General features: G+C 41.9%; 1 protein-coding gene across 38 annotated transcripts in view, besides 1 other annotated feature; it reads right to left on the bottom strand.

The window, feature by feature from the left end:
* The window catches only part of ATG7 (autophagy related 7), a 303957-nt gene that overhangs the window by 197703 nt on the left and 82781 nt on the right, over positions 1-23473 (bottom strand). For all 38 annotated transcript variants that reach the window (XR_007095622.1, XR_007095623.1, NM_001349238.2 and 35 more), the window contains 4 exons: positions 20039-20233; positions 17867-18070; positions 15723-15838; positions 13917-13992 (listed from right to left, as the gene is read on the bottom strand). Coding sequence is in view for 36 of the 38 variants with exons in the window: in NM_001349238.2 (NP_001336167.1) it covers positions 13917-13992; positions 15723-15838; positions 17867-18070; positions 20039-20233 (591 nt within the window). In the remaining 2 variants the exon portion in view is untranslated. The remainder of the gene's footprint in view (positions 1-13916; positions 13993-15722; positions 15839-17866; positions 18071-20038; positions 20234-23473) is intronic.
* Positions 13171-14370: an enhancer, noted in NCBI's record as "CDK7 strongly-dependent group 2 enhancer chr3:11405755-11406954 (GRCh37/hg19 assembly coordinates)". NCBI's record gives its function as "activates an origin of replication core promoter dependent on BRD2, BRD4, P300/CBP, MED14 and CDK7 cofactors, with strong dependence on CDK7, by STARR-seq in HCT116 cells {active_cell/tissue: HCT116}" and the evidence as "EXISTENCE:reporter gene assay evidence [ECO:0000049][PMID:35650434]".

Below are 23473 nucleotides of genomic sequence, written 5' to 3'. Positions count from 1 at the left end.
TACAGTGGTGTGATCTCAGCTCACCGCAACCTCTGCCTCCTGGGTTCAAGTGATTCTCCTGCCTCAGCCTCCCGAGTAGCTGGAATTACAGGCGCCCACCACCACACCCAGCTAAGTTTTTTCTATTTTTAGTAGAGATGGGGTTTTGCCATGTTGTCCAGGCTGATCTTGAACTCCTGGCCTCAGGTGACCTGCCTGCCTCAGCCTCCCAAAGTGCTGGGGTTACGGGCGTGAGCCACCGCGCCCAGCCCGAATTTATCATTTCTATCAAACACTTGATCTCGGATTGCATTAAAAAACACATAGCATATTGATAAAGACATTTTAAAAATTTGGCAGGGCACAGTGGCTCACGTCTGTACTCCTAGCACTTTGGGAGGCTGAGGCGGGCAGATCACCTGAGGTCAGGAGTTTGAGACCAGCCTGGACAACATGGCAAAACCCCCACCTCTGCTAAAAATACAAAATAATTAGCCGGGTGTGGTGGTGCACCCATGTAATCCCAGCTCCTCGGGAGGCTGAGGCAGGAGAATCACTTGATCCTGGGAGGCAGAGGTTGCAGTGAGCTGAGATCCAGCCTGAGTGACAGAGTAAGACTCCATCTCAAAAAAAAAAAAAAAAAATTGGTAACTGGTATAAGTTAGATAGCCTCATCATAAACATATGAAAATATGACAACCTTTTAGTTCCTAACATCTCAGGAATGTGGTAACCATTTCATAATCCATGACCTGAGGCATAATCAGGGTCATAAGTTTGCTATTCAGGACGTCAAAATAGGAGACATCAAAATAGCAGAAAAGAGTTTAATAGCAAGTCACAAATGGGAATGCTGAAATCTTCACGAGCTCTGGAAGTTACAGGCTTGAGAATACTCACAGTGAGTCTCCTCTATACCCCAATTACTTTTATATTAAGTTTACTTAGAAAAGAACTTCATCACATTTAGCATATTTTTCCATTAAAGTTTTTTAACACAGCCTACAAGTCATGTGTCCATCTATGTTTCATGGAAAGGTTTCTGCATGCTGTTTTCTCTAATATGGTTTTCATCAAACTTACTTTATGTTGCACAAATACTGGTAATTTTCTCTGATACTGTCTTATCATTGGAGGTGGGCAGGTAAAGCTGAGGGACAGGGAGAAAGTAGATCCAGTTGGGGTAGAAAGGGAGAGAGGAAATAGAGAAGAAAAACAACAACACCACCACAGGTGGCGAGGAATAGAAGAAAAAGAAGATGCCGTGCACGGTATTGGTTGAATGAGGGTCCACACACCACCGTTCAGCAGGCCCAGACAGTTCTTTACTAGGAAACAGATTTATTTTCCCAGAAAATGAAGTAGAATAATATGTGTGTGAGGACTTTCAAATTCACCAAGTTTGTATCAGAAGGCCCACAATTTAACCAAAATAATTCCAGTTTTAGATAATTCAAGACAGGAAACCCTTCTTCTCAACCGACTGCAAGAGACTCCTAAGGGGGTACTTCCACAGGTGGGCTCCCTCCCTTCTAGCTAATGCAAAGGCTCAGCTGTCAGTTTTCCTAATACACAGCTCTGAGGCCTGTCATTTTTTACCCACTCCCTATAGCTGACAAAAGGCGGCAGACAAGGCCGGGCGCGGTGGCTCACGCCTGTAATCCCAGCACTTTGGGAGGCCGAGGAGGGCGGATGATGAGGTCAGGAGATCAAGACCATCCTGGCTAACACGGTGAAACCCCGTCTCTACTAAAAATACAAAAAAATTAGCTGGGCGTGGTAGTCGGCACCTGTAGTCCCAGCTACTCGGGAGGCTGAGGCAGGAGAATGGCGTGAACCCGGGAGGTGGAGCTTGCAGTGAGCCGAGATGGTGCCACTGCACTCCAGCCTGGGTGACAGAGCAAGACTCCGTCTCAAAAAATAAAAATAAAATATAAATAATAAATAAGGCAGAGAATTCCTTGCACTCCAAGGTCCCTCTGCTCTGGGCCCAACCCACCTTTCCAATTAAATTTTGGATTGAATTTTTTTTTACAGACTCTGTACAACTGCTAAGCTGAACTACAACTTCCCTCCCAAAGATATTCTTGATTTCCTGAGCTTGCCTCATGCTGAATTCTGTGACTCAAAACTCTTCCTTTTGGTGACAGCTACATATCTAAGTGTTCACCTTCCTTAAAAACCACTCAGCTCAAACACACCTCATTCACAAATTCTCAATCTACTACCCAATCTAGAAATAGTATCTCTACCCTCTGAAATCCTTTTGATCTTTATGCCCAAAATACCTTGAGGAATAGTTTTGGAGTTTAAAATTCATAACGGGTTTGAGATATAATTCACATACCATAAAATTCATCTTTTAAACTGTACAGCTCAGTGGTTTTTAGTATATGAACAGTTTTGCAACCATCATCACTATCTAATTTCAGAACATTTTCATCACCCCCAAAAGAAACCCAGCAATTAGTCCTCATTCTCCCCTCTCTCAGACACTGGCAACCACTAATCTACTTTCTGCTTCTATTGTTTTACCTATTCTGCTTATTTACTATAAATGAAATCACACATGACTGGCTTCACTTAGCATATTTTCATCCACATTGTATCACATGTCAGCATTTCATTCCTCTTTACTGCCAAATAATATTCAATTGTGTTGCTATAATACATTTATTTAGCAATTCATCAGTAGATGAGCATTTCTCTTGGAAATATACCTAGGAGTAGAATTACTGGGTCATATGACGACTGTTTAACATTTTGAGGAACTGCCAACTTGTTTTCCAAAGTGACCACATCATATTAAAATCTTGGCCAGGCGCAGTGGCTCACGCCTGAATCCCAGCACTTTGGGAAGCTGAGGCGGCCGGATCACAAGGTCGGGAATTCAAGACCAGCCTGGCAAACATGGTGAAACCCCATCTCTAGTAAAAATATAAAAATTAGCCAGGTGTTGTGGTACATGCCTGTAATCCCAGCTCCTCGGGAGGCTGAGGCAGAAGAATTGCTTGAAACCGGAAGGCAGAGGTTGCAGTGAGCTGCGATCGTGCCACTGCACTCCAGCTTGGATGACAGAGCAAGGCTCCATCTTGGGGGCAAGGGGAAAAAAAAATCTCACTAGCAAAGTGTGAGGGCTCCAATTTCTTCACGTCCTTGTCAACACCTGTTGTTGTCTCTTGTAGATTATAGCCATCCTAGTGAGTATGAAATGGTATCTAACTATGGTTGTGACTTGCATTTCTCTAATGACTGGTAATGTCAAGCATCTTTCCATGTGCTTCTTGACCACTTGTCTATCTTTTTTGGAGAAATGTCTATTTAAATCATTTGCCAAGTTTTAAACATTTTTTAAATTGCTGTATTGTAAGTTTGTTACATATTCTGGATAAAGGTTTCTTATCAAATATATCATCTGCAAATATATTCTCCCATTCTGGTTTTTTTGTTCATTTGTTTGTTTTGATAGAGTGTCTTGCTCTGTTCTCCAAACTGGAGTGCAGCAGTGTGATCTCGGCTTACTCTAGCCTTGAACTCCCGGGCTCAAGCGATCCTCAGCCTCTCCAGTAGCTGGGACTACAGGAACACACCACCACACTCAGCTAATTCTTTTGATTTTTTTTTTTTTTTTTAAGAGAGATGAGGTCTCGCTGTGTTGCCCATGCTGGTCTTGGACTCAGGGCTCAAGCGATCCTCCCACCTTGGCCTCCCAAGCATTAGGATTTCAGGCATGAGCCACCATGCCCAGACTTTTTTTTTTTTTTTTTTTTTTTTTTTTTGAGCTCTGTTGCCCAGGCTGGAGTGTAGTGGAGCGATTTCAGCTCACTGCAAGCTCCGCCTCCTGGGTTCACACCCTTCTCCTGCCTCAGCCTCCCGAGTAGCTGGGACTACAGGCACCCGCCACCACGCCTGGCTAATTTTTTGAATTTTAGTCGAGACAGGGTTTCACCATGTTAACCAGGATGGTCTCAATCTCCTGACCTCACGATCTGCCCGCCTCGGACTCCCAAAGTGCTGGGATTACAGGCGTGAGCCACCACACATGGACTTTTTGTGCTTTCTTGAAGCACAACAGTTTATTTTAGTGCAGTCCTACTTACCATTTTTTCTTACATTGCTTGGTCTTTTGGTATCTTACATAAGAAACCATTGTCTAATCCAAGTTCATAAAGATTTATGATATTTTCTTCTAGGAATTTTACAGTTTTAGCTCTCACATTTAGGACTATGATCTATTTTGAGTTAATTTTTTAACATGGTATGAAATAAAGGTCTAAATTCATTCTTTTGCATGTGGAATGCTGCTGTCTCCATACTATTTGTTGAAAACGGCATTCTTTCCCAATTGAACTGTATTGGTTGGCCATTAAGGGTTTATTTTTGGATTCTCAATTCTTTCCATTGATCTATATTTCTATCTCTATGTGAGTACTTAACTATCTTGATTACAGTAGATTTGTACTAAGTTTGAAACTGGAAAGTATGAGTCCTCCAACTTTGTTCTTCACGTCCAGGATCGTTTTGGGTATTCTGGGTCCCTTGCACTTCCATATGAATTTGAGGATCAGTCTGAATACTATAATTAAGAAATGTTTTTATCTTTCTTGCTTTTAGAGGACAAGACACAGGCTGAGCTACTTGTATTTACTTGTATTTACTCATAGCACAGTGATTTGCTCGTAAGACAATAAATTATGAAATGAATAAACAAGTAAACAAAAACCCAAAGCTTACAAAATTATTCAAATCTGGACTATACAGAGAAAATAGGTCCCACACAAACCACAAGAAAAACTCTGACTTGCCACCATTCATATGCTCTGCATTGCACTTCCTCAATCTTATAAGAACTGCATAAAATTTAAAGAGCAGAAGTTGCACCTTACTTACATATGCATAGAAACCCCAGAGCAATCTAAAATCCAAGTACCTTATGCAAAGGTCCTAATAAATATACACATACCTATTGAGAGAGGCCAGGCCGCAACTCCCAAAGAAGTTAAAAAGATTTGTCCTTTGCTTGGGTGGAGAAAAATTCACCGTGACCTTCCTACTTAGAAGTGTGCAAAGTCTATAAAGCAAAGTGTTGCTCAGTGTTTTTCTAAACTTGCCTCATCAGAAGAAGCCCCTGGAACTTGATTCAAAAGGTCTGGGGAAAGGCCTGAGAATCTGCAGGTTTAACAAGAGCTCCAGGTGGTTCCCATCAGGCAAGCAAGGGAAACAGGATGCTTTGTTACTAACCTTAGTTACACCCTCCCGTGGTTTGCTCTGTACCACTCAGCATCACCTGTTAGCTGTCAGAAAACGGATGGAAGCACTTAGCAAGCCTCTAATTCTTTGCGCATTTTCTAAAAATAGTACCACCACACCACCTAATTTAGTTCATGTTAAATTAACATTTAAATTAAAAGGCTTTATAAAGTGATATCAAAGGTGTTTTGCCATCCACACAGGAAACTAAAGCCTCTTGCTGAAAGTAAATTTTCTACCTTTTGGAGTTAGTCATAACGTAAGTCTCACACAGCTTACTCTCAACTCTTGTTCTCCTATTTGTTGTCAGTTTCTCCTTATAGTAGGGTAAGCATTAAACAGCTTTTCAAAAAAAAAGTTAACTCTTTCTGTAATAAAAACGATAAACACATGACAAAACAAACAAAACAATAACCCATACTCCCATGACATATTTACTTCCATTTTCCTATTTTTTAAAAAATTATCTAAACATTTAACTTTCTTTTAAACAGCCTCACCTGAATATTGTTTTCTCATTCTCCCCTCTCCCCACAAGGGGAAAACATGGCCGATTTCACACACACACACGCACACGCACGCACGCACACACACGCACACGCGCGCACACACACACACACCCAGCCCTTACCTACCAACTTTGTAGCTAGTAAGAGGGATTCCTCAGAGTGACCAAACCTTGCCTCCCTCTGAACATTTTAAGATTTCCATTACATTTTTTTTCCCTTAGTACAGTAAAATATACAGAAAAAATAAAAATGGTCCATATAGAAATTGGGTTGGTGGTTGCCTGGGGCTGAGGGTGGGGAGATGAACTGGGAGAAGGCACAAAGGAGCTTTTTGGGGTGACAGAAAAATTCTGTATCTCATTTGTGGAAGTGATAGTTATGTGAGTGTATACACTTGTCAAATCATACTAAAATGGGTTCATTTTACTATATATCAGTTATGTCTTGAAAAAGGTGATTTTAAAAAAGGCTTATAATCTTAATTTTTCAAAACACTGCAGAAAAGTACGAAATGAAAACCCTAAGTCCCTGTTACCTCCATTCCCTCTCCCTGCAAAATAATCACCAACATTAGTGTTCCATAGAAACGTCTAGAAAAAAAAAATTGTACGCCTAAACTAGCTCTACAATATTTGTATCTTTGCTACTCCCTGAATATTAAAAAACCCACCTGGGAATCACAGAGCCTAGAAGAATCCCAATTACCTGTGGTTTCTTGGCTCCAGTCCCACTCATCACCCCCAGGCCCAAAAGGGCCAAGCACTTTGAGTGGAAATCCCTGTTGTCAGATGTGGGGCACCAGGTTGTAGCTGAGCTTGGCTCACAGGGCCTTAGGAGACAGGACACACCGTCCTCACCGTGGGGAATGAAAACACGGCAGACAGCATGCAAAAAGCATCAGAATAGGTCGTTTGGCCTCGCTTTATATGGTTGTTTGGCCTCGCTCCCGGGCTGTTCCCAGCTGGACAGCGTGTGGTCCGGCAGGAATTCATTAGGCACACCTGTGCGTGTCTAATTAGCTTCCAAAGGCTCTCAGGCAGGAACACCTGTTGGGGCTGCAGATGTGCACTGGGAACAAGGTGCCAAGGGTCTTTTAGAAACACAACTAGTGTTGGTGGAAGCACAAAATTCAAAAAGCAGGATTTGGTGTGCTACCTTAAGGACTTAAGTACTTTGTCCCAGGTGATGCTATCAAGAAGCCATGTTTTCATGGACAGAAGCAGTGGTTCTCAAATGCCTAATGTCCCTGGAGGTTTTCGCTCAGTGGCTCTGGGATGGGCTGGGAAATGGGTATTTTGAAATGGCTCCTTAGGTGATTCTGATGGAAGGCCAGGTATGGGAATCCCTGGATTAGGCTGTCTTCTGATTTAAGACCAAACGACTCAAATCCTATTCCCAGAGCCACTCGTATCACCTCCAGTCTATTCTCCATGCAGCAACCAAATCTACTCATATCACACCTCAGCGTTCAACGGCCTCCCAGGGCCCCGGGTTGAAGGTCCAGGCATTTCCAATGGCCCCTGCATTCCTGCCTTCTCCGCTGTGCCCCTTTACTCGCTGTCTCGCAGGTAAACTGGCCTTTCCCTTCCTCAAACTCGCTGAGCACCTTTCCCAGCCATTGTTTCTGCCTGTTCTACGTCCCCCTGCTAAAGCACTTACTTCTCTTCCTTTTCCCTTTCAAATAAACAAATGTTCCCTCCTAATCCTAGAAGCCAGGCAGGAAGGCATGTCCTTGAATAATGTGGAAAATGATACCCCAGAGAATGGAGGGAGGAGAGCACTAAAATTTACTGAATTCCATGCCTGTGTTCAGGGCTCCTGGGTGTTTTCATACATTGCATCTCATTTTGGCCTCACTACCATCTTGTGGCACAGATCTCCAAATAGGAACATAGGAGGCTCAGGAAAGTGACATGGCTTGCCCAAGGGTCCACAGCTACCAAGTGGCAAAGCCAGGAATCTGAATTTTGTTCTTTCTGGCTCTAAAGCCTGAGGAATAAAGCTGAAAAGCAAAGAGGTAGAAAGGAAGAAAGAGGCTAGAGGAATTAAAAAAAAAACAAAACTCCCGAACAAAAACTCAACACCTAGAGGGCTTAACACCTATCAGGTGGATTCAATTATCTTTAGTCAATTATGCCCAGTTGGCCACAAAATAAATAGATCAAGAATAGAAAGGTTCCTCTTTCTTTCTGGGCCACCCACCCCTGGTGGTGTTTTCACCTAAGCTGAGTAAAATTAGCTTCAGACCCAGGCCTCGATGGGAGGCTAAGATCCAATGCCCAGCAACAAACAGCCATTCTGAGAAAGCACAGTTGCAGCCACAACTGGAACTTGCTGCTTTAACTTCACACTAGCTTCCAGCAGGCCTGGCAATATTTCTAAAGCTTGGAGTTCGCATAAATAAAAACTAACTCCAAACTCCAGATCGATCTTGGATGCTGAAAAGAGTCTTAATCAAGTTCAATGCCAAAATGGAGAGTGTAGCAATTGCAAAACCCTAAGCACACCAGAATGGTCTTTGTTTCAGCTAAGAGCTTCAGCTCCCACCACTGACCCAACTCTCGCTATTAAGCTAGAGTCACCAAGGGGGCAGAAAAACTAAGCTGGACATGAGCCAGTGTTATCCTTAGAAAAACACTGCAGAATGGAGCAAATCTTCCCAACCACTCCCTCTCTACTCATTGCTTTCAGAGCTTTATGAGAGTCTTTATAAATTCCTTTTTAGGAGAGTGGATAAGTTTCCATTTTAATTAAAAGTGAAAGATGAAACCGATATTTACAAGGGTCTCTTATGTGCCCAGAACTGTGCTAATGCTTAGTACGTGTGACTTAATCCATCCATGAATTCCAAGAGCTTATTATATTATCCCCATTTTACAGATATAAAACATGAGGTTCAGAGAAGATACGTAACGTGCCCAAGGTCAAACAGGGACAAGTGCTAAGAGCTGCCCCAACTGGTTTTGTAAAATGAGATACTGAATGTGAAATTAACAGACAAAGCTGGGGTTCTAATCAGATCTGTATGATCACAAAACCTTCAGGCTGCCTTCCTAAACACGCACCTCCTAAACAGGACAGCCTCATCCAGTGGGTAAAACTCATGGGGCAAAGTGACATCCTTCAACCTGTAAGGTTAGGCCCAACTCCTCCTGGGACAAGAGATGCAATCTGAGATGCTTCTGAACGCTGACATTATAATTTATCCTCCAGGGAAACAGCAATCTTGACTCTTCTTCTGGGACCTCACAGAGGAAGCCCAGACATTGTTAGACCTATACCCGGATCCTTCCTTGTATTCAGAGGCCTCCCCACTGGAACCAGACTCTACTACATCCAAATGGCTTGGGATACATCCATCACCTTAGATTACCCCAAACGCAAATGGAACTCAACACTGGGTGATCTTGTGCCAGTTACTTAACTTCCCTGAACTTCATAGTGCTTGGCACTTGGCAGAGTCAGATTACCTGTTGAGGGGATGGCTGGAGGGAGGGAAATAAGATGAACAGGTCACAAACGATAGCACTTGATATAGTGAAACATGAGGCCTGCCCATTTTTTCTGCTATATCCATCATCATCAACCAGAGAGGTTTAGAACCAGAGGGGTAAAGGAGGCTCCTTTCCTGGGCTGCATCTCAGGAAATATGCTCTTATTGCTTATCTGCTAAGATTTCCCTCCTCAGCAGTCCATCTGTCCATGTCCCTAGGAGCACACTGAGATAAGTATTTCTGAACACAGTAAAGAGATTTTTTCAAAATCTAAAGGCTTGAGGATTTGGGGGACACAGCCTGTGCAGAAAGGCCAAATATCCCGAGATATGGCTAGAGATCCCAGCTCCACCTCAGCATGTGACTCAATTAGAGTTTTCCCAGGCCAGGTCCCTCCCAGGGTCCTGCCCTAGTTTTGGCTTTGTATTACTTTTCTGAAGCTAAAAGAATTCATGAAGCTGAGAAAACCCTGGGGTTGGCAATTCCAAGCTCAGAAGAATGGCATATACACATTCAGGGTCTTTTTTTATCAGTACTTTAGAACCAAGAGTTCATTCACCTAAAGACAAAAGATGTGAACTGCTTGGTCCACAAGTGGGATAAAGCAGGAATGCCCCATCAATTACCTTGGTGTTTGGACAACTGTTGTAGCGTCACCTTGATTCCTTTTTTTTTTTTTTTGAGACAGGGACTCCCTCTCTTACCCAGGCTGGAATGCAGTAGTGTGATACTGGCTCACTGCAGCCTCAAACTCCCACAGGTGCGTGCCACCACACCTGGCTAATTTTTTGTAGAGACGGGGTCTCCCTATGTTACTCAGGCTGGTCTTGAACCCCTGGGCTCAAGCAATTCTCCCACCTCAGCCTCCCAAAGTGCTGGGATTACAGGGGTGAGCCACTGTGCCTAGCCTTGTCACCTCATTATCATCCTTTGAGGAGGTACAGCCAAAGAATTAGCAGGCCAACAGGCTGTTAATTTCTGTCACATCCAGGATCTCTTGCCAGCCGGCAAACCAACTTCCTGGAGATATCAAGAGTGGCCTGTACATTTTATAAATCCTGAACTGTGCCTCCTACCAAAGAACCAGAAAAAGGATCTGGCCTTGCAGAGCTCAGCCACCAGCCGGGAGGGAAAAAGCAGTGTTTCTTTCCTTCTTCTTCTTCTTCTTTTTTTTTTTTTTTTTTTTTTTAAGTAAAAGAACACTGTTGATGGGAAGAAGGAACAACACTACTATAAGATTTATAATGAAAAAGTTCCCTCTACAAAAGACAACAGATTCCAAAGAGTATATACTATATGATTTCATTTACAGAAGTTCAAAATCAGACAAACATCTCCCATGGTGCTGATAATCAAGAGGTGCTTACCTCTCTATAGGAAGGATGCAATAATAATCCGAAGAGGCATGAGGGGGGCATTGAAGGTGCTTGATAGTTACTTTGTTCTGATCTGTGTGCTGGGTATAAGACTGTTCGTTTTGTGATCATTCATCACATTACCACTTAATGATGTGTGTGATAATCTCTATTCCACACATCAACAAAATGATTTTTTTTAATCATTCTTTTTATAGACAGAAATTAGCTTATACTTACTGCTGCCTGCTTGCAGAATCTAATCCACGTACATTGGGCCAGAGACTTAAAAAAAAAAAAAAAAACCCAAAACAAACCCATAAGCTCACCTGAAATGGTTTATGGTTTTCAAATTCAATAAGAGGTTTCTTCAGGCAGAATTTCACTGAATTTCAGGGCCTAATCAGGCCTTTTTTTGGCACTTGGCCAGTCTTTGGATGGGCCAAATTCTGCCTGTGGACCCAGAGACAGAACAACTAAGTAATCCTCAGGCCTCCTAGGTCTGACACAGAGGAGAGCAGAGACCCAGAGAGCACAGGAAAAGTTAAGGAACTTTCTCCAAATTACACAATGAGTTGCTGGTGGGGGGCCTTGTGATTCTCAGTCCAAGGACTATCACTTTTCTACTACATCTCTTCCACAGGGGCCAATTAATAAAACTTCTCCTCTTGGGAACTGAGAAAAATGAGCCCAGTAAACTTCACTGGTCTTCTTTGCATACAAAGTACACAAAGGAGTTTACCAAGTTCCTCTCCAACAGGAAATCATTTGTCTCTAGGAGCCAGGAAGAGGAGGAGGGAAGTGCTGAGTTTGCAACAGGGCATTGCAACACAGCCCAGTGTTTTTGTGGAAACGTGGAAACGATGGTCCCCTAATCAAAACATGGTTGCATAAATGGACTCACTCCACTTAGGGGGAAAAAAGTTGTTTAAAGCCTATACATGGGGACCACACAACCCTGATTAATTTTTAAAGTTCTTTCTCCACTTTCTTTCTTAGAAAGTAGCTAAAAATAAAGGCTTGAAACTTGAAACAATGTAAGCAAGTAAACACACACACACACACACACACACACACACACACACACACACAGCTTTTCCCATATATGGCTGCGTTATTCTTCAGTCTTTGAAAAGGGCAAATGAAGAGATGGCCAACAACCAAAATAATCCTTCAGACATTTGAAAACGAGGAGAAAGAACTAGAAGAGTTGGTGAATGACAAATAATTCTGAGGCTCAATGGGGATAAATAACACCGAGAGGGATTAGTTGCCATAGTACTTTAAAAACATGGGCACATGCATTTTGACACTGGGCCCCTTCTATAAAGAGACTGTTTTGCCCTCTGGCCTCAGCACTGAGAAAACTACAACTGCAGTAATTTAACATAAAGGACTTAAAGAAGGAAACCAGTGCAGGGGCATGACTGAAAATTTAATTAAGGCCCTTCTCAATATAAAGTCTGTAAAGGAGATGAGGGCACATCTCAAGGTCAGAAGAAGGCGGGAGACTTGGGAAAGATTCAAATGAGATACGACAGCATAAATAGCAGAGGTAGGCTCTGGAGATCAGCTTCCTTATGATAGATGGTTATTACCGCGTCTTTTGGGTCCTACGTGAAATGTCTCTGTAGAAAAGATTAACACATGCATGTCAAAAAAAAATGCCACCTTGTGTGTGGGGGACAGAGGGGGGCACATTTTCATAGTGTTTTGTGGTTTTCAAGGCCGTGTCAGATGTAATCCTGGACACAAAGTAAAGCACCTGCTTTTCTTGATTTGGAAACTGAGACTCTGGGAGGCTAAGTGAACTCTACAAGTTCTATTTTTTTTTTTTTTTTTTTTGAGATGGAGTCTCACTCTGTCGCCCAGGCCACAGTGCAATGGCGCGATCTTAGCTCACTGCAACCCTCCACCTCCCGGGTTCAAGCGATTCTCCTGCCTCAGCCTCCTGAGTAGCTGGGATTACAGGTGCACACTATCACGCTCAGCTAATTTTTGTATTTTTAGTAGAGACGGGGTTTCACCATGTTGGTCAGGCTGGTCTCAAACTCCTCTCCTCGTGATCCACCCGCCTCGGCCTCCCAAAGTGCTGGAATTACAGGCATGAGTCACCGCGCCCGGCCCACAAGTTCTATTATGGGTGGTTTTGTGCAAGGGGGCTGGGGTACCAACAGGAAGCAAAATCTCCCAACATGCAGGCCACGGATCTTTCAACTCACAAGACCTTTGAAAGAACATTTGTCAGACTGCCAAGTTTAGGTATGGATTGTGGCTCATCCACTAAGTCTCTGTGACCATGAAGAAGTCGTTTCCCCTCTTCTGATTCTCATCCTAAACTGAATATGACAGTGCCGCCCTAGCTGGCAGAAGGTGGGTGGCGAGGAGGAAGAGAGAGACAAGCATGAGCTGAGTCACTCTGCTCTCTGCACTCGTCTGAGTCTGTCCTTGCAAATCACCAGATAGGACTGGTGGGCACCATCACGATTTCACTGATGGGAACAGCAGTCACATTACAGGAGAGGATACATACATGGAATCTAAAAAAAAATGATTTCCAAATAAGACTGGAAAACCTCTTCAATCTCCCAAAAATATAGTAATGAAAATGACTGAAGAGGCAACATGAATTCTAAAAGATCATCCCACTGCCTTTTTCTTTTTACTCCCTAAGGGATGGAACTTCCTCATGATGCTTTGGATTCTTTTTCTGAAAAGACACCCCACTTTTTGGTGACCCTGCATGCTTCTAATGTTTTTCTCATGCCTGCCTATAAAGGTTTTCTATTTGGGTTCAGAGTCAATAATAATAACAAGCAACAGTAAAGAAACAGCAGGCATTGTTTGTTGAGGGCCTATGATATACACTGTTGCTGAGCCCTTTCTAGCAACCATCCATAATCCATACAACTACCAGGTGATGTCAGCATTACCTTCTCTATGTTACAGATAAGAAAACTAAGCCTCAGAGAAGTTTAGTGACTTGGCCAAAGAAGGCCATCTTTATAACGGCAGGGCTGGGATTTAAACCATTGTATGACTGATTCCAAAGCCTGTTTTTTCTGTTCCTATTGCATTATGAGGCCTCTAGTCAGTTTACAAAACGCATCAAAGACTCTGGGCAATGCTTCTCGTTCGTGATTTCCTCCCATCACTATCCCGCAGAATGGAATACCTTCCAGGTGGTCAGAAAGCTCTCCCATTGAAATCCCAGCTGCAGGGTAAGTAGGGTGGATATGAAGTGGGCTGGGCAGATGGAATGGCAAAGAGACCCCACATGCTTTCCCCCTGTACCAAAAGAATTGTGATTTCACTTCCACATCACTAACCTGGTGAGGCACAAGCCCAAGAGAGGTTGGAGGCTCATTCATCCGATCGTCACTGCTGCTGGCAATGGCATAGCCCCTGAGGACAGGAAACAATCAGAGCTGCTCATTTAATCCAAGTTTAACACATGGGAGGATGATCTAGCAGAAATCTACATAAGATTCATAAGGATAACTAAAATGCCCCTTGCTGGGCAGTGTAAGTTAGCAAAAAACTAATTTCCCTGGGACAAAGGGCAAGAAGAGTAATTTAAACATGCATGGTTTGGAGTCAGAAAGACCTGAGCTTGTGACCATAGGCAAGTTGCTTAACTTTTCTGTGCTTCAGATCCATCATCTATAAAGTAGGAATGAGGGAGCTCTGATTAATAAATGAGGAATCTACTACATCAACTGCCGAGTGCAATGTTCGGCATATCAGAGGCCAATAAACATTAACTCACTTACTATGAAATAGTCTTGTCAAACATCACAGCACATTTCTGTACTGAAAATTTGAAGTGGAAAATTTTCTAACCTTAACTTCTTGAGCTGATATAAATGCTAATGAAATGGAAGAAATAAAAGTGAAGAATGAATTGGGCAGAACTAATACACTACTCTCTGAACAATGGAGTGATACTTGTGGCACCAAAAAGATGTGACACAGGACCTGGTGTTTAAACTATGACCAGGGCAAATGTGGCAGACAGAGGCTCAGTGTCAAGGAAGCATAAAGTCAGCTCTCAAAGATTTTATCCCAAATACTTCCTGTCAGAGAGTGGCAATAAACTTAAATGACAGATAGCTAAGGTGGATGACAAAGAGGAAGACAAAAAAGCCCCGCTTTTCATTTATCTCAGAGTACCCATACTAGTTACATATACAACCACAATTTTCAACTGCTGAGGAAAGCTTTGAGTCACACAAGAAATAGAATATTCATGTTAATTTGCATATTGACTTTCTGAGAACTGGAAAAATAAATCTTTCAAAAATTCGATTTTCTGCTGCCTGTATTGCAAACAGCATAACAAAGTCATTAAACATAGTCTGGAGCCACACTGGTTGAGCTAAACCCTGGCTTTTCCATTTACTATGTAAATTTGGCCACTTACTTATCCTCACTATGCCTTGATTTCCCCATCAAAACTGCGACTAATAATAATAGTTCTTTCCTAATATGTTTGCTATGAAGATTAAAGGAGGCCGGGTGCAATGGCTCACGCCTGTAATCCCAACACTTTGGGAGGATAAGGTGGGTGAATCACTTCTGATCACTGAGGTCAGAGGTTCAAGACTAGCCTGACCAACATGGCAAAACCCCATCTCTACTAAAAATACAAAAATCAGCCGGGCATGGTGGCGTATGCCTGTAATTCCAGCTACTTGGGAGGCTGAGGCAGGAGAATCACTTGAACCTAGAAGGCAGAGGTTGCAGTGAGCCAAAATCGTGCCATTACACTCCAGCCTGGGCAACAAGAGCGAAATTCCGTCTCGTTAAAAAAAAAAAAAAAGATTGAAGGAGGCAAAATTTCTAAGGTGCTTAGAACAGTGCCTAGCACAAAGTAAGCCCTATATAAGCGTTGGAAAAATAAAATAAACCATAGTGACTTTGTCCGGAAAGATGCAGAAATGTGGCCACAAAGGAAACATGCCAAGTTATCTCAGCCCAAAGAACCAGACCTGCTTTTTCTAGTCTTGTTTTTTTGAGGGTGAAATAGTGAAATTCTCTGTAAAGTCAGACTGAGAAAAGGCCATGGGAGACACTGATGAACAACTGCCTACAAAAGCTTTGTTTAAATACTCATCTCCTACTAGCAAACTCACCCTTCTGGATGCTGCAAAACAGATACCATCAATTCCACGGCCAGGGCTCCTGCAATCACGGCCAGTCCTGGACGACTCACAGTGCACTGCTGGTCCAAGGTCCGGTCTCTGGTTGACTGCAAAGAAACAATCATTGGTGTGTGCAGAACGTTCTACTCCATTCAACTCTAGCTGTCTCAAGTATGAAATCCTCTGTGACAAAGCTTTAAATTATAACCAGATGCTCATTGTTGGCAAAGAACATCCAGCCTCAAGTACATCATTTCTTGAGATTATCAAGATAAACAAAATATACAATTTAGGTAACTAAATGAGGTGATATGCTAAAAAGGATCAGTAGCCTAAACAGATTGGGGGATATTAACCAAAAATGAGGGCTTAGCTGCCTCATATAATGGAACTGCATCATGTGTTCCTTTAAGTGACTCAATTCAGTTCTACTGTGCTTGGTAGTTAAGTGACAGAGACACAGAAAGGAACAATGATTTGAAAAGTGCAAATGATTCTGCCCTGCCATTTTAACTGAGCTAACACCTCAAAGTGACCGTGAGATGGGAGCAACAATTTACTATTCCTGCGGCCCTCAGTTCCTATGTGCCTCTCACAACATGGGCATCACCTCTCTGTGTGATTCTAGGGTTTACTACAAGTATTTTTTTTTTCTACAACATGGCTCTAAGCACAAGCCTTTGCTGGTTCAACCAAAGAGAGTCTAACCATCCAACTCTGGGCAAATTAAGAGGTTGTTAGAGATATTTTTGACTCTATAAAAATTTTACCTTATGAGCAGATGGGACTTTACTGCAAGGGACCACTAATCGTATTTGTTGACAATCACTAAATAACAAGACCAGCTATATATTATAACACCATAACAGAGATCATCAAGCCATCTTTCTCCATAAAAGAGAATGGTCATCTTCTTTTCTTTATATTGGGAGGGCATAAAAGCCAGTCATCCAAAAGAGATATGAGTTATTAAGGGAAAAGTTTTAAAACAAAGGAAAAATAGAGGGGAGGTTACAGAAAACATCTCTGCATTGTTTCACTGGAAATCGTTATCTGTTCTGATAAAGGAACAGACCTACATACAGACTGACTTGTGTGGAGTTCTGAAAGTCATAGAATCTTAATTTGTACAGTGTAGTCTTGCTGTTCAAAGCACTGTCGCACTTGACCCACTTTGCACTGTGAGTTGACAGGGCAGGTATTCTTCCCTCCTCTATTAGCATTGCTAGGGAGAATACAAGACACTCAGTTAAATTTGAATTTCAGATAAATAAATTTTTAGTATAAGTGGGTCTTGAATATTGCATGGGACATATACCAAAAAATTATTCATTATTGGCTAAGCGTGGTGGCTCACACCTGTAATCCCAGCACTTTGGGAGACTGAGGCAGGTGGATCACGAGGTCAGGAGTTCGAGACCAGCCAGACCAACATGGTGAAACCCCGTCTCTACTAAAAATACAAAAATTAGCTGGGCATGGTGGCACACACCTGTAATCTCAGCTACTCAGGAGGCTGAGGCAGGAGAATCACTTGAACCCAGGAGGCAGAGGTTGCAGGGAGCCGAGATTGTGCCACTGCACTCGAGCCTGGGTGACAGGGCGAAACTCTGTCTCAAAAAAAAAAAAAAAAGAATTCATTATTAACTGAAATTCAAAGTTAGCTGGGAATCCTATATTTTTACTTACTAAATCTGACAAGCCTACACATCACTCCTATTTTGCAAAGGTAGAGGGAACCTAAGAGACTTTTTAGAACTACCTGGGAGGCAGTGTCAAGCCATTGATGGAATCTGGTCTTTAGACTCCTGATTTGTAATGTTATCTTGACTAAGAGAAGCACCGGAGACAATACGGAGTGCTATCAGGGACTAGTCTGCTGTGGTTTCCTCAATAAGCTTTCCAAAAATATGGTTTGTAGCCGCGTTTATATTGGTGAACAAGGAACAGGTGTACAGTTGATGACGCCAGTCAAGGTTCATAATGAGATAATGCCATCCTCCCCAAATTGGAGAATTCTTCTCTTTGTTAAAAGATAATATTTAAATAGTCATAAATGAAAGGGCCAAGTCGGTCTGCCTCAGTGTACAAGTTGGTGATAGGAAATATTTGGAACTATAGAGAAATCCACTTACATCTCCTGGGGCCACCACATCATTGCAGAAGTAGCAGCCAAGCTTGTAACCAGGGATGTTGGCAAAAAGCGATGAGCCCAGGAGGTCAGCAGATGCCACAGGGTGGTTTGGACACAAGTCCCCAGCTCCTTGCTGCTTTGGTTTCTTCAGACCATGTCTCATGACAACAAATGTGTCAAATCCCAAAGCAGCATTGATGACCAGCTGCAGGTTTCAAGGAATGAAAGAGCAGAGTTAAAAGACACATATATTTCAAGCTGTGGCTAATTCCATATTTGCTCAACTTTTTAAAATTTATTTTTTGCATGTAAGTGTAATTAGATTATAAAAGCTAATGATGATAAAATCTACCCACTACTGAGGGCTTATTAATTACAAAAGACTTGATAAGTGATGAACATAAATTATCTCATTTAATTTCATTTGAAACTCATAACAGACCAGGTATAGTGGCTCATAACCTGTAATCCCAGCACTTTGGGAGGCCAAGGCGGGCAGACTGTCTGAGGTCAGGAGTTCGAGACCAGCCTGGCAACATGACGAAACCCTGTCTCTATTAAAAATACAAAAAATTAGCCGAGCATGATGGCTTGCGCCAGTAGTCGCAGCTACTCAGGAGGCAGAGGCATGAGAAATGCTTGAACCTGGGAGATGGAGTTTGCAGTGAGCCGAGATTCCGCCACTGCACTCCAGCCTGGGTGACAGAGCAAGATTCTATCTCTGAAAAAGAAAAAAGCAAACAAAAAAACTCATAACAAACATTTCTTATTTATAGATGAGGATACTGAAAGTCAGAGAAGTTAGTTCTATAACTTGCCCAAGGTCACTTATCTGGCAAGAGGTAGGTATATAAAACCAAGTCTACATAGTTCTCAAACACATTCTTTCCACCATTATGCTATACTGTCATGTTCACATAGATTTGTTTTTATAACAGCTTTATTGAGATATAACTCACATACCATATAATTCACCCTTCACATAGAATTTTTTTGGTATCCCAGTAGCTGGAATTACAGGCACATGCCACCATGCCTGGCTCCGCATAGTTGGTTTTTTTTTGTTTTTTTGTTTCTTTGGGGTTTTTTTGAGACAGGATCTCACTCCGTTGCCCAGGCTGGAATGCAATGGCGTGATCTCGGTTCACTGCAGCCTCAACCTCCCAGGCTCAAGTGATCTTCCTGCCTCACCCTCCTGAGTAGCTGGGAGCACGGGTGTGCATCACCACACCTAGCTAATTTTTTGTTTTTCTTCTAGAGAGAGAGTCTCACCATGTTGCCCAGGCTAGTCTCAAACTCCTGGGTCAAGCAATCCTCCCAAAGTGCTAGGATACAGATGTGAGCCACCATGTCCAGCCCAACACATAAATTTTTAAGAAACCGTTTTTTCATTATACTATAACAACTTTTCATAGTTCTAATTTAACTTATTATCCCAAATATCTGATTATATAGAAAGTTTGAAAAATAAGAATAAACACACTACAAAAGAAAACAAAAATCACTCACAACCCGCAGCTCAAAAAATTACTATTAATAGTTTGGTGTATTTTTTACCTACTATTTTCTCCCTTTCTCTCCCATACTCTCCCTCTCTTTCTCCCTTCTTCTTGTCCTCTTTCTCCTCTCTCAATAGACAGATAAGTAGATACTTAAGAAAATACATATCAATGTTTATATATAAACATAATTGGTATAAAATATATACAATATTGTATCTTCCTTATTTAATATAATGTGGCATTTTCTATCTTATTAAAGTCCTTTGAAAACATAACTGTGAATGGCTGCATACTATTCCATCATAGGTATGCACCATGATTTAGTTCACTATTCAACATTGTTGCCCCTTGAAGTTGTCATTGACCAAGTAGTGGTGAATAAGACCAAGTCTCTGTCCTCTTGGAGCTTACGTTTTAATGTAAGTACAGTATATCTTTCAGTGTAGAGTATCTCAAAAGATTATTATGAAAATTAAGCAGTAAATGGTACTTATTACATTGGGTGATGGTGTGCGAGGCAAAGACAGAGTCTGAAGCAGAAGCCCTTTGGCACTATGCTACCAGGTCACACAAACCACATCTCTGCCCTGGGGAAGGGAAGGTTAGGGACACTCCTCCCTCTGGAGTGGTGGTGCATTAAATCATAAATCATAATTAGAGACAGGGCCTACCTTTCTCTTGCTTGCAGCAATGACGGCAGGAAGCCACCGGCTCTCCCTGGTGTCCATCAATAGGAAGACGACATCATGGCTTTCGATGAGCTGCTCCAGTTGCTCCACATCTCTGCGGGCTTGCTCCAGAGTGACACTGGAGAAGTTCACTGGATGCCCAGGCATAGGTATGCTCATGTTGAATCCTCTGGCATTCTAGGGAAACACCAGGACGTAGTTATGTCTGGAGCAATGGTATAGGTAATATCTCAGAGCCCACACTTCCCACAGCTGCCTGCACTTACTTGTGTTCACATACATGAGAGCTCCCTGTGCACTATTATGCTGCACCCTTCCCACGCCCTCTCTCTTCTTCACCTCTGCATCCTAGAACACCTTGACCTATCACCCCAGGGCCCTGAGGCAGGGCAGGGCAGCAAACAGAGACATACGGATCTCAGTTCCAAAGTGGAGGGGGCACATCCTACCTGAGGTAAGGACACTGGAGAAAACTGTGTATCTTTGGCTCTTTCCAGCCATCCAAGGCCAAGAAACTTTATCACAGCACCTTCTGCCTACCCAAGTACCTCTTTTTTTTTCTTTTCTTTTCTTTTTTTTTTTTTTTGAGACAAGGTCTTACTTTGTCACCCAGGCTAGAGGGCACTAGCACAATCATAGCTCACGGAAACCATGACCTCTTGGGCTCAAGGGATCCTCCCACCTCAGCTTCCCAAGTAGCTGGGACTACAGGCACACGTCACCACACCTGGCTGATTTTTTAATTTTTAGTAGAGATAGGTCTCACTATGTTGCCCAGGCTGCTCTCGAACTCCTTGGCTCAAGGAATCCTCCTGATTCGGCCTCCAAAGTGCTGGAATTACAGGCATGAGCCACCGTACCCTGCCAAAGTACCTCTTTCCAACTGGGCTATCTCTTCCTATTTGCTTCCAAATTGCCCTCCCTTCTGTTTCCTCAGTGTTAAACATCTCCATATGGAGTGTTCTAGCAAATATAATTTGATTTAATACATTCACATAAGGTTACAATGACTGATGATCTTGTCTTAATCCTTTCAGGGGTATATGCATTTTAAAAAACCTCAAATACAAAAAACTCTACTTGCTAACTTAGAGCCAAAAAATCTACTTAGGAGTATGTAGATATTTTTATCGGGGCAGGAGTTATGGTGGGTGATGTCAGAGTGTGGGACAGAGTAAGGCTTCACTCTCTGTCCAAAAGTAGAAGCTGTCCATCAACCTGAGTTCCCCTGAATTGGGATTTTTTATATGGGCTTTAGAACAGCTTTATAATTTACCATCTGCCCCTTGATGACCACATAATATTTTGGCACATTAACAGTGAGTCACATATGGGTGCTAATGAAGCCAGGGACACTGACTTTCCACAAAAAATGTGTTCTAGAATCATAAACTGTACCTTTAACCCCTGTATATCACTGGCCATAGGGAAGTGTTTGAAAACATCAGCTTTTTCACTCATTTGCCAAAACCCCTCACCTACTGGAAAAATAGCTCAAGGGACACAGCAAGCAGATCTTTTTACAAAGAAATATCAAATTTGTAGATTGTGGATTTTTTTTATTATCTTCAACTTTAAACCTAATCTCTGGAATTCAAGAAAGGAAGAACAACAATTTCAAAAGGAATGTAAAAAAGAGTGGCAAGCAAAGCAGGAAAGGACCTGAGGCAGAAAGGATTTCAGGAAGAAGAAAGGTGCAAAAACACATCTATTTTAATAATGAGACTAGCACAGCACACATCTATTTTAATAATGAGACTAGCACAGCTATCAGGATCTCATTAATTAATCCATTAAGTATTGTGCACCTACTATGTACCAAATGCCGTAATAAGCAATAATAAAAGCAACAACTACAGTAATAATAATACCTGCAATACCTTACTGACATACTACAATTGACAAAGCATGTTAAATGGTGGTAGCTTGATCCAAATAACTATTAAGTATATATTTTCATGACACCAAGATGGAAGTATAATCATGCAATACCAATTCTGAACTTTTGAATAATAAAATAACTTTGCTAACCTAAATAAATCTCTACTTGCTAAAATTTCAGCCAGTAAGCTAACGTTAGAGCCCATCAGTTATGTCCACACCCAAGAGGCTGGAATTCAGCAACTTTCAACACAGTGGTTTTCTACTTGGCTGTATATCAGAACCACCTAGAGAGTTTAATGGCCAGGCTTTTCCCCAGACCATTTAAATGGAAATCTCTAAGAATGAGCCCAGGCACCAATATTTTCTAAAACTCCCCTGATGATTCAAAGGTGTAGCCAAGTTGAGGTATAATTTACATAAAGTGAAATACACAGATCTCATATGCACAGTTCAATGTATTCTGACAAATGATAGATTAACCACTGCATACAGCTATCAAGATATAGAACATTTTCATGACGCCAGAACATGGTCTTGTGCTCCCCCTCAGTCGGTCCCCACTTGCCCCCAGATGACAACTGATCTGACTTCATAAGCCATAGATTAGACTATTCTAGAACATATCACATAAATGATATGCTAGGGTATATACTTGTTTGTGTTTGGCTTCTTTTGCTTAGCATACTGCTTTTGAGGTTCATTATATTGTTAAGTATCAATAATACATTCCATTCGTGGTATAATTATACTACAATTTATCGATTCTCTTGTTGATGGTGATTTGGGCTGTTTTGAATAAAGGTGCTATGGACACTTTTGTATAAGTATTTTCATGTATATATGTTTTCATTTCTCTTAGGTAAAGATCTAAAGGTACAATTTCTGGGTCACAAGGTAGGCATATGTTAAATTTCATGAGAAACAGCCAGATTTCCAAAGTAGTTATTTTACCAGCAATGTATAAGTGTTTTGGTTGCTCCACACCCTGACAACATTTAGCATTGTCAGGCTTCTTAATCTTAGCCATTTTAGTAGGTGTATAGTGATATATCTCTCTGGTTTTAACTTGTATTTCCCTGATGACTATTGACGTTGAGCATTTTCACGTGTTCAATGGCCATTCATAGATCTTCACCATAAATTAAGTACCTGTTCAAGCTTTTTTCCCCCTTAAAAACAAGTTGCTTTGTGTGTCTTGAGTGGTAGGAGTTGTTCATCTTGCGTGTTCTGGATAAGAGGACTGCACATGTCTTCTCAGTTTGGCTAGTTTTTCCCTTCTTTGAAAGGCATCTTTTGAGAAGCAGAAGTTTTAAATTTTTATAAAGTCAACTAAGTTACCATTTTTTGTTCATAGTATTTACTAGGTCCTAAGAAATCTTTATCACAAGACCACTAAGATGCTTTCCCCTCGAAACTTTATAGGGGCCATTCTGGGTATCACATAAGGGCTCAGAGTATTCAATGAGGTCTCTCCACTCCGTATACAGAACTCCAGTGTCTCCCAGCTCGTGTGAACTCTGGAATCTCCATTCT

This window comes from Homo sapiens, chromosome 3, assembly GCF_000001405.40.
Source record: "Homo sapiens chromosome 3, GRCh38.p14 Primary Assembly".
Classification (NCBI taxonomy): Eukaryota; Metazoa; Chordata; class Mammalia; order Primates; family Hominidae; genus Homo; species Homo sapiens.
This window is presented reverse-complemented; position numbering and strand designations above follow the sequence as displayed.